Source organism: Homo sapiens, chromosome 13, assembly GCF_000001405.40.
Source record: "Homo sapiens chromosome 13, GRCh38.p14 Primary Assembly".
Classification (NCBI taxonomy): domain Eukaryota; kingdom Metazoa; phylum Chordata; class Mammalia; order Primates; family Hominidae; genus Homo; species Homo sapiens.
Window position 1 is genome coordinate 68,206,900 of NC_000013.11, and position 12,415 is coordinate 68,219,314.

Below are 12,415 nucleotides of genomic sequence, written 5' to 3' on the forward strand. Positions count from 1 at the left end.
CTATGTCTTAAACAAAGTTTATGGTTGAAAAAATAAATTGCATTTTATTTTAAAAATTAGTGTCTTTAGAATATAATTTAATAATTTTATTTAGACTAGAATTAACCATTTTTACCTAGTGAATGTATCTTATGTTCACATTATATTTAAGTACATTAAGTCAGCAAGCATTTTTTGTAAATATAATGTATAAAAAGCATGTGTGTAAAAAGATTAATAAATGAAAAATGAATAAGAAATGTTTCTAATATTCACAGTACTCTCAATATAGTGAATTAGGTGAATTTGTATGTAACTTATGACAGTCTGTTAGTAAGGATAATGGTGATTGACAAAATAGAAATGAGTAAAGGACTGGAAAAGTTTAAGATGACTATGAATGCAAATATGAAATTATTTCCAAGAAACTGTAAGTATGATGAAAGATTACTTTTCTAATTTTCTGTGGAAAGCTTTTAATGGCATGATATTTTAAAAGTTAGAGTTGGTTAGGTTGAAGAAAAATCTTTAGAAAACGAATCTGCTCAATATCACGATATATTTTTTTCTCAATTAAGGACCTTAATTAAGGAAGCTATGACAAATAGGTGAATGGTCAGAGAATTAATCTTTAGCTGAATATTTATGGCCACAAAACTTTCCCAAATGAATCGTCTGCTGATGTATTAATGTTCATCCTTCCTCAAGAGGATAGGATAATTTTTAATATATTGCCATACTCTTTAGCCTAGTTCTTCCCTTAGAATGGAAAAGGATAGGCTATTTTAAGGAGCTAAACATGGGGAGACCATTGTTTACAGTATAATGTTTATTGCAAGCAGTTTTCCTTTTCAAAAGCCTAAATTTTAGTGAATGAAAAGAACATGGAAGAAACATCAGAGAACAGTGGGCAAATATCTATATATAATCTTACATGTATCCCTCCAAAAACTCCACCTGATCTACTTCCACCCACAAGACACATATCAAGTGTGTCTCCTCATGAAAACAAGAGACATGAACTCGATATATATGTATTATATATTTATATGTAACACGTATTATATAATATATAATATATAGATCATACATATTATATAATATATAATGTATTATATAAAATATATATTATCTATAGCACATATTATATATAATATATAATAAATGTTACATATAATATATAATATATATTATATCATATTATATATAATATATTATATTATATATTATATAATACATGTATAATATATAATATGTAATATATATTATATAGTACATATATAATGCATATATAATATATATGTATTGGCTGGGCACAGTAGCTCACGCCTGTAATACCAGCACTTTGAGGCCAAGGTGGGTGGATCACAAGGTCAAGAGATCGAGACCATCCTGGCCAATATGGTGAAACCCTGTCTCTACTGAAAATACAAAAAATTAGCTGGGCGTAGTCGTGCACACCTGTAGTCTAGCAACTCGGGAGGCTGAGGCAGGAGAATTGCTTGAACCAGGGAGGCAGAGGTCACAGGTTGCAGTGAGCCGAGATCACACCACTGCACTCCAGCCTGGTGATGGAGGGAGACTCCATCTCAAAAAAAAAAAAATTTTATATATATACATATATATATATATGTATGTAATTTTCTTACACAAACATTTACAGTAAAAAATTAATTACCAATGAATAATGCATAGACATATTGACAGTTATTCATCTTAGAATAGGGCCAGTTTTCCAAATGTTATTTTACTCATCTAATTCAAATTGGTCCCCTTCTTATGCATATGATTTTTAAAAATGTAAATGGAGCTAATAGAGAAAATTTGAAGTTATAGACTATGACCATCTTCTATCACAATTATGCTCATAAGGTCTTGAGCCATCACCCATATTTATAGAAATCCAATTTATCACGATTTTTTCTGAATTTGTGGTATACTGGATGCTATTGTTTGGATTTTTGTCCTCTCTAAACCTAATATTGAAATTTGATTCCCAATTTGGCAATGTTGGGAAATGGAGCCTAGTGCGGGGTGTTTGGGTTATGGAAATAGATCCTTTGAATAGATTAATGCCCTCAGTGAATAGATTAATGTTCACTCACAGGTGAGTAAGCTGTAGCTCTATTAGTTCCCAGGATAGCTGGTTTTTAAGAACAGCTTGCCAGCTCCCTTCTCTCCCTCTTACTTCCTCTGTCATCACATGATCTCTTTGCAAGGGCTGGTTTCCTTTCCACTTTTCACAGTGAGTTGAAGCAGCCTGAGGCCCTCATCAGATGCCGATGTCCAATCTTGAACTTTCTAGCAGACTGAATTGTGAGACAAATAAAACTCTTTTTTAAAATAAACTACCCAGTCTTGGGTATTCTGTTACAGCAACACTAAAAGGACTAAGACATTGGACTATTCACTAAGTTCCACTGTTATTTATACAGAAGTTTTCTTCTCACAATATTGTGATTAATTATGTGTGCTCTAAGCTAAAACTCTCATTTTACATTTTTCTGTACTACAGAATAAAAATTAATCACATGAGAAAAACAGGGATGAGTCAGAAAATCCCTTTTCTTTATTCTTCTCAAAATGATCCTCCAAAACGTCCCGTTTTTCAAATTCACTATGGAAGCTTTTTTCTTAATTCTCTAACTAGATATCAAATAGTGAATTGCAAAGGTACTACAGCAGACACATAAAGTGGGTTTAAAGAAAATCTACTGGGAAAATAAAATACTGTCTTCTTGAAGTAAAAAAAAAGTATACCTCTGTAAAATGGGACCACAGCGCGTCTTTTTGTTAATGTTTAAAATAATGAGTATGTTGCACATATTCCCTTCTCTGGATATATATTTCTACTGCAGAACCCAGCACAACTTATAGAAGGTACATGGAATTCACTTTGAGAAACATAAACCTGACAGCTTTACCTAGTGGTGTTCTGCCTGCACACATCCTTGAGAAAAGAAAATAAATTTCCCCCATTGCACAACCAATATAATTCTGATTTGTAGAGTAATTTCAAGCTATAAAATAAGCTTCTTAGGTAATCATTATCAAATTGTTTAAAAATGTAATATTATCTATGTTTATTTCTGTTTACTACTCATATGAAAACTTCCTGTTTAAACTTAGGCATATAATATATGCATTTCTATTGGCACTAGTTCATTTTCTCAATGTAGCAGTGATCCATATATATTTCATATTATTCTGCTCTTTTTTTGATTCTGTATTTTTCTATTTCATCTTTTCTTACTGGTTTTTCCTTTCCTACAATCTCCTCAGCCCATACTGTTACTTTTTTCTGTCCATCCTTATTTTTTCTCTTTCTTTCCTTGTTGCTATTTTCCTAGTCATTCTAATTTTTCCTATAATTCCTCATTCTTACCCACATCTTGCATTATTTTCCCCCCAACTTTCCCATTTTTTCTCTATTCACGTCTTACATATTTCTAGTGACAAGATGATTTCTCTTTTATCAAAGTGTAAGTACCACATTAAAACTCTATTACTGGTAATAGAGTTAATGTGAAACTACAGATTACCTATAATTTATGACAAAGTAATTCTATGTCTTAGTCACTATAATGAGTTGCCAATTTAATTTAAATATATTAGATATTCACAAAATGGATACTGAGCTCTTTTTGTGCATTTAGTGCAGAACTGATCATTGCTGAATACTTAAAAAGTCATTCTACAAGACTTTTTATTTTTAGCCTCATAAAGTTAGTTTGGGTCTTAAACCAGAAGAAGAAAAATCAAGGATGGCAAACACTTCATACTAGATTGTTTTATCTCCTTTCCTTTTTTTAATTCTTAGGAAAAAAAATCATTTATTTCAACTATTTTTGATGAGAATAAAGTGATATTAAGATTCTTATGAAGAGATGATAAGATTTTGGTAATAAAGTAAGTTTAACAGGCAGTTCCTAAATTACCTGTGTAACACTCACTTATGCCTTTTGGGTATTCGTTCATTTGTTCAACACTTAGCATTTGCTAAATGACAAAACTCTATAAGGTACTAGGGATGCGATGATTAATAAGACATCATTGCTTTTCTTCAAGGGTTTTTAATGTAACTAGGAAGACAGACAAGTGAACAGATAATTATAACATAGTGTGATGCAGTAATGAGAAGCCACAGGGCTATATGAGCACATAAGAGGTTCTTCTAACCCAGAGTGTTAGAAATTCAGGGAAAACTTCCAAAAGAAATGATGCTTTCATTGATTTTTGAAGGATGTTATGCAGTTAATAAGGTAAGGAGATGAAATTATGTAGAGAGGTAAGTAGGGGTAGTGGGAAACTCTCCCAAAAAAAAAAAAAAAAAGAAAGTTTTCTAAGGCTTAGAATCAACAGAAATTCAGGAAAATATTTATAACAAAAATAGTTCAGTAAGTCTGAGACATGAGTTATGAAATACATAAGTAAGGGAGGGAGAAAAATAGTGGTGAGATAGAACACTATAAAAGTAACCCCAAACCAGATGTTGAAAGGCCTTGAATGACATCATAAAGAGTTCAGACATCACCCTAAAAATTATGAAAGCCACTGTGGGTTTCTAAACAAAGTAATGCTCTGACAAGATTTGAGACTTTTAAAGGAACAAAAGATGGAGAATGGATTGCAGAGGTAACATTTAAGGCATAGAGATTAACATGAGGACGTTGCAACAGATTGAATGATGTTATCGATGAGTTCACCTGTTGATTGGTTCACACAATGTAGGAAAAAATCAAGCATGATTATTCCCTATGATTATGATAGTGGCAATTGCTGGAATTAAGATAGTTTATAAAGGAGGCAGAAGAAAGAGGATATGACTGTTGCTTGGATGTGGGGATTAGTTAGAAGAAGAATCAAAATAACAAATGAGTCTGCCTTAGGCAACTGGGTGTAGAATAGTGTCCATCATGAGATGAGAACAAATTGGCATTGCCTTGGTAAGTGGCATTGGTATAGTATGAGGAGTTCTTTTAGGTTATACGGATTTTTAATGAATCCTTAGGTCTTAGAAGTGGAAACATTCAGCAGAGAATAGCACATGTGTGGCGGGATATTTCATTTGTGTTGTGTTATCACTTTATGTTTCTCATCTTAAGAATCCCCCACCCCGGCTGGGCGCAGTGGCTCATGCCTGTAATCCCAGCACTTTGGGAGGCCACGGCAGGTGGATCACCTGAAGTCAGGAATTTGAGACCAGCCTGACCAACAGGAGAAACCCTGTCTCTACTAAAAATACAAAAAAAATTGCTGGGCGTGGTTGCGCATGCCTGTAATCCCAGCTACTCCCAAGGCTGAGGCAGGAGAATCGCTTGAACCCAGGAGGCAGAGGTTGCGGTGAGCAGAGATTGAGCCATTGCACTCCAGCCTGGGCAACAAGAGTGAAACTCCATCTCAAAAATGAATAAATAAATAAAATAAAATAAAATAAAATAAAATAAAATAAAATAAAATAATCCCCAACCCCCTTCCAGGGCAAAGTAATTCCCTTGCTTCAGGAAAGATTGCTTTCGGAGTCTAAAGGAAAATAGCAAGGTGAGAGGATTATGCTAAGCGTGAGATGAGGTTTGGTGGAAGAATCTAGATCAAGAGAAGGATCCTCAAGATAGGAAAAGTCAGCTGTTCTCAGATCTTAGTGCAGGTCTGTCTTCTGGTATTACTCTGGGAGCTGCCAGGACATCAGAGGGAAATAATAATATATGTTCCCTAGGAGGCTAGAATTAGTTACCAGCTCTGTCACATTCTGTAAAATTTGCATTTCTCAAGAGTGGCAAATAGGCCATTTAACCTCCTGATTCAAAGAACTATTTGGGCTCAGAAAATATACGTATCAACAACTAACTACTAGGAGTTCTTTCTCTGTTTCCAAATAAATATCTCACATTTTTGTGAGTCCTCAGAAAGATGATCCCTGTACCCCATCATGCAAACAGCACTCTAAGATTCATGTGGGATGAGCCTCCAGTCTCACTTAAATTGCTTAAAAAAATAACTAAAGCACTAAGATCTCTGTCACACTCCCAAATGTAGACTAAAATTTATACCCAGTATATATGGGTGTGAGTGTCAGAGAAAAATTTGTACTAAAAAATGACAAATATAGTTTGAGTAAGAAGTGGTAAAACTAGGCTAAATGAGTGACTAGATTTCAGGATTTTAGATTTCTACTTTTTAAAAAAATTTAGCATAATGAAACTTCCTGGCTAAAGCCATCTTAGCACTATGTGTTTGAATTCCATCTTCATTATTTGTTACCTGTGTAACTTTCGTCGACTTGCTTAATGTCTGTGCCTCACTTTCTTCATTTATAAAATAAGGATAATATCAATACCTACCACATAGGGTTGCTGGGAGAATTAAATGAATCCATGTGTGAAAAAAAATTAGGATTGTATCTAGCACAGCACCACCTACATATTCATCATTGCAATAAAGAATGTTAAAGCCATTGCTGGTAACTTCTCTGAGTGGAAGACAAGACTTTGCTCACCTGTATCAGGTGATGGATAGTTTCAAAAGAGGGCTTTAATTTTCTGAGTAAAATATGCACCTTTCAGGACAAAGCTGAAGCATCCTGACCAATAGGTGGACAAAAGCGGCCATCCACAGTCCTTCCTTTCTGCCTTTTCTCATACATTGCTCAATCTTTTTTCTAACTAGGTTTAGGACACATTTTTACAGACTATTTCTTTGTGAATTACTAATCTATTCATGCATCCAGCACTATACATTCCTCAGCCTTCCGTAACTTCCTCTTACCTGCACTGCAAGCTCTCAAAATGATTCTTATTCCTACAACCTTAGCATTTCTCACACACACAAAAAAAATCTCTTACAAAATGACTTAAGATTCACTAGTTTAAATAAACTATCGTGAATAGACATAGACCTTGTTGCCATGACAAAAATGGTTTAAAAAAATAAGTTACACAATGAAATTCTGGAACACACCTCATTTGCAAATTGGGGATTTACTGTACAATGTAAGGCAATCAATCCATGTCTCAAAAGATAAACAATGCACTTTATCAAATCACTGAGACATCTTAAATAATTGAAATAAAATTCTCACATCATACAATTTTCCTCTTCCTTTCTTTCTTCCCTCCTCCCTTCCTCCCCACTTTGTTCTTCCTTTTCTCCTTTCCTTTTCCCTTTTTTGGTTTGTTTGTCTTTCACTTACTGTCTTCTTGCTTATTTCATCTTTCTATTTCTGTTTAAATCTAAACTGCTATCAATTAAAAAAAAAGACTCTGAAAATAAGAAGCTGAACCTGTCAGGTCCTAGTCCTCACTCTGACACTTACTAGACACATGACCTTGGGCAAATTATATAATCTCTCAGGCTCCGTTTCTTCATCTGTAAAATGAAGTGGGTTGAACTAGGTGATCTTTAATGTCTTTTTCTGCTTTAAAAATATCCAAACCTAAGTATAGTAACACTGATTTCTAGACCAGTGCCAATTAGAACTTTTATAATTCTATCTAAACCATTAAAAATATTTGGAAAACTAAAGCCTAAATATAAATCTTATAAAATACAAGTTTATATTTTTATGAAAATAGGTATTTTAAAAATAAAATAAGTTGATTATTAAAACCAGAAAGCCTAAAAATATATGAGAAAAACAATTATTTCTCTAGAAAAGTCATTCGAAGCCTGTGAGCTTCATTGATGTGAAATGTTTCTACCAAGGAAATTTCATTCTTGTGTTTGATTTTTATACAATTTTAAGACCTTGATAGCTGGAACCAGAGTGTAAATTATTAATACTAGAATTAATAGAGATCTGTTGCAAAGGGATGACCAGAAAAAAATGATTTATATTTAACTGTGTTGACGTGAGTATACTTGGATCTTTTTTCTCTTTCAATTTTAGGGCTTTTATTTCTCTGTACCCACATTTAAATCTTGCTGTGTGACACACTGATATTCAAGAGGCATTAAGCAGTGGCACATCTCTCACACAAATAGATCTATGATTGTGGGGACAACATTTAAATGTGTATAACTATTACCCCCCCAATAAGTGTGTATTACATCCTATTAGCCTTAGCCAGTATTCTAATCTAACAGTTCTGCACCATGTTCACATTAATATGCAAATGGCATTAGAATACAAAATTAAACGAAAATGAAATTTGGAAGCTAATTGACATTTTTGTCACAAAAGCTCAGAGAAACACTATTTATGGTTTCATGGTAAAAGGCTAATGTGTCATCCAAGGGAGGAGGTCACATCAATCTCAGCTACAGTTATTTCCCAAAGTACAGTGCAAAGCGCTGTTTATGTATGCAAGTTGCCAGTCTCCCTCACGTAGGTGGGCCCATCTCTGTAAACCTGCGCTAAATTGCTACCATCCATTACACACAGTGGCTGCCTGGATAGCTGCCTGGCACTGACTTACACAGGCCATCTATTCCTGTCAGAAATATGATATGTCACTGACAAAAGCTTAATTACACCATTAATTAATAGGACAATTTTCAAAATGCCTTGAAATGCAGCTTGACACTAATTAGTGCCATTTATGAATAATTTCTCCCAGGGAATAGTACTCTGAAGAGCACTTTAAAATGAAATACAGTTTTAAATAAAGGTATTTATAAAACAAAATAAATATATGGCTGGAAGCCGCTTCTCTCTTTCTCATTCTCTTTTCTTCTCTCTAATATGACCTATCTCTTCAATACTGGAAAAAGTAATTTTATAAACATTGAAGCTATTATTACAGTTTTGCCTCAAAATGACCCATTTCTTTCATTTTGTGCTCACTTTAGAAATTCAGTCACTTGTTTTCTTTCTTTCAGAATCTGAATTACTTTTTAAAATGCACCATGCTTTAAATTTTAATAGCAATTACAACACATTAACCTCAAAATAGGTTTCTAAATATTTATCAGCATGAAAAGTATCTTTATTTCCTCAGTTTACCTGTATCCTAGCAAGGCCATGTATGGCAAGAAGGAAAATCAGAAGTGTGAATTAGTTGGGGTGGGGGGATCACAATTTCACAATTTAGTCGTACCCACTCCATTGATTCATTAAATTTTTGACTTATGTCTTTTACATCAGCAACCTATCAAGGCCAGACACGGTGCTGCAATCCAAGATAAAGTGAATAAGAAATGATTTAATATTACACCACCATCCTCCCCCACAAAAATCATTTTGACACTAAAACCAGCACGACTAAGTTATTTAAAGCCACTGTGCACAGTGCATGATTAATACTTTTTGTTACTATTTGTTATTTGGCTACAGTGGTTTTATGATTGCTGCACTACGTTATGGCAGACGGGATTGCGAAGGGATTGCAAAGTTAAAGCCAAGTCAGTTTTTCGTAAAGAAGAAAGGGAAGTGTTAAGCATCTCAGATAAGGAACTGCAATTGGAAAACAGAAATGGGTGACAGAATGAGAATAAGGCCTTCTTTGTCTAGATTTAGAAGGTGACAATGTGTCTAGATGTCACTGGGTTATTGGATGTTTCTTTTTATCTTGAGGTGAACCACAAGATAAGAAGTCAGGGTCGCAACCTGGTGCCTATAAAGTTGTATCAGTCCTTGAAGAATGATTCTTGGAAATGTTATCAAATTATCTGGGAAGATGTTTCAAAGGTCCTATGCCAATTCTGTTTGGAGACTACTCTGTTCCTATAAATTCCACATCCTTACTATCTTTCAAAGCCATTTATATTTTCTACCCTTCTCCTAATATCTTAGTTCATTCCTTTAAAATCTCTCAGCTGGCTTATAGCAACACACTGCTTCTTAATTTTCTTGATTCTAGTTATGCTTCTATTCAATCTCTTTTATATATTATGGTAACCAGCAGTATTCTTTTTTTTTTTTTTTTTTTTTGAGACGGAGTCTCGCTCTGTCGCCCAGGCTAGAGTGCAGTGGTGCAATCTCGGCTCACTGCCACCTCCGACTTCCGGGTTCACGCCATTCTCCTGCCTCAACCTCCCCAGGAGCTGGGACTACAGGCGCCCGCCACCACGCCCGGCTAATTTTTTTTTTTTTTTTTTTTTTTAGTAGAGACGGGTTTTCACCATGTTAGCCAGGATGGTCTTGATCTCCTGACCTCATGATCTGCCCGCCTCGGCCTCCCATAGTGTTGGGATTACAGGCGTGAGCCACTGAGCCCGGCCACCACCAGTATTCTTAAAGATTAAACTGGAAAAAACTAATCCTTGGCAAGAGTAAACTGAGAAGCCTGTGGGGAAGTCTATGGTGAAACGAGTTTGGAAAATATTGAATACTAAATCGCAGTCTGTGGCATTGGTAATGAATGACAGCACAGTAATAACATCACCATGTTATGAATTTTAAAATTTCATTTAATTATATTTAACCCAGTGGCTCATTTATGTATCTAATGACAGATACTTGCTTTATGCTCTAGAAAATAAATTTGGTCATGAAACTGTGATGTTTACAATACCTCAAAGACTACTAGTTGACAGCAGAATAAATTTCCAACTTCTTGCCATTTTATTCAAGGCTCTTTAGTGTTTAACTCATCACTTAGTGTCTAGCAACACTTCACATTTTCTTCTTTTTTGCATTGTTTGTTCAATCTATATTGAGCAAATGTTAATACACTGACATTTCTTCTCACATCTAAGCCTATATATTTGCTGATTCATCGGCACAGAATATTCTTTCCATAGTTTGCCTGACTACCTTCACTTCTTAAGAATCCTACTTTAAACCCCAGTTTTAGAGTACAATTGCCTTCTCTGTGCCCCCATAATATTATTTGTTTACAACTGTATTTTTTTAATCTTTTAATCTGACTAAATGACAGCCATTTGCATCAGAGGATGTAGTTTATTCAACATTGTGTCCTTAGTATCCAATATGGTAATGGGTGTGTTAGGAACTGGATTAATTTATTTGACTAAGTCATGTAATAAATTGTTTTGCAAGAGATCAATAACATATAAAGGTAGTGCAATGAAGGAGAAAGACTGAAAAAAATCAATTGTTTCCAATTTAGAGGACCTTGGATTTTATCCTTGTCCAGCTATTAAATAACATAAATAACCGGGTTATCTTAAGCAAGTTATTAACCTTTCTCTTTAGATGTTGTAGATAGAATTGAGGACATGAAAGCAGAGGAAGGGAGAATAAAGGTAAACAGGACAGAATACTTAGAGTTTCTAGACACAGCAAATAAAATTTCTTTACTTCCATTTTTATGGCTCCTTTTTGTCTCCGAACTTGACATAGGTCTCGCTTTTTTCTTTGTCTTTGCAACTTCAAGCACAGAGACCAAAAGAAGGCAAAATTGTGATGCATTAGTAAGGGAAAGAAGTTAAATCACCTGTTCAATGATCCATTAACTTACCACTCCCTTCACCAGGAGGATGCCACAGAGAAAATAAAAGGAGAAAAGAAGGCAATTTTAGTCTCCTTGTAAACAGGCCCTCCTGGTAAATAGACAAATGATATTTCCTTGGAGAAAGAGAACTTGTCTATAAAATGTCCTTGGCAAGATTTCTCTGTATAGATGAATTATCGTAAAGAGAACCCAGAGTCTATGAAGCTGGTTTTCTGGAGAATGTCACATAAGCTTTTCAACAGAATGGGATATAAACCAGAGATGTTCGGTAATAGAAATGCTCCCTGCTATGTGAGGGACCTCAAGACTCCGCTTAGAGATCTCATCTATCCTGTGCCAGAGAGGAATGTTCAAGGCAGAAAGAGAAAACCTGAAGAACTATTCTTGATGTTCCTGACCTTCGTCTACTTCAGCTGAGCTCATTGTTGATCTTCTTCATATTTGAAAATATTTAATAAAGATTTAATACTAAGATCACTGATTCATCCAAGTCTGCTTGACTAGCTGATATTATATGTTTTTTAGCTAGCCAAATTGTTTTGGTTTCCTTGAGCTTCTGAATTGTTTTCTCATGCTCTAAACTGATATGGCTCCTCACCCTTTCTCTGATTTTTTTTTCAAAGTTAAGATAACTTATACTAATTTAACAGGACTACTCACATTTTAAAAACAGCTATCAAAGCACTGAACCTAAAAATAACACTGATGGTAGAATCCAGGCCTTATCTAAGCAGAAGAGTGGCTTTGTTCGTGAATTTGTTGTTGATTGGTTCATTTACAAACTACACTAAAATTGTTGCTGGCTTCTCTGCAATTTTTAGTGTGTATATGGCATTATCAGTCTAGACATCCAAGCAGCCCTTTGAGTAGGACCCATCTGCCTCTGTAGGAGACTATAACGTTAAACTAAATCATCTCTTCATTACCCAGGTTACTAATTACCCTTTCAAATTATATAATGATAAAACCCCTAAATCACATTTCATAGAAAGCCCTCCCTGTTTACCTGTTGCATTCCACCGGGGCTTCCCAGACATTTTCCTTCCATCACTAAAATAAAATAATAAAAATAATTACTAACT

The 12,415-nt window shown here is 34.5% G+C and overlaps 1 long non-coding RNA gene across 1 annotated transcript; it reads left to right on the forward strand.

The window, feature by feature from the left end:
* The first annotated feature begins 4,524 nt into the window (after positions 1–4,524).
* Positions 4,525–11,807, forward strand: LOC124903239 (uncharacterized). Its single transcript, XR_007063925.1, has 2 exons — positions 4,525–4,614; positions 11,256–11,807. It is a non-coding gene; the product is annotated as an uncharacterized LOC124903239 (long non-coding RNA).
* Positions 11,808–12,415: the final 608 nt, after the last annotated feature.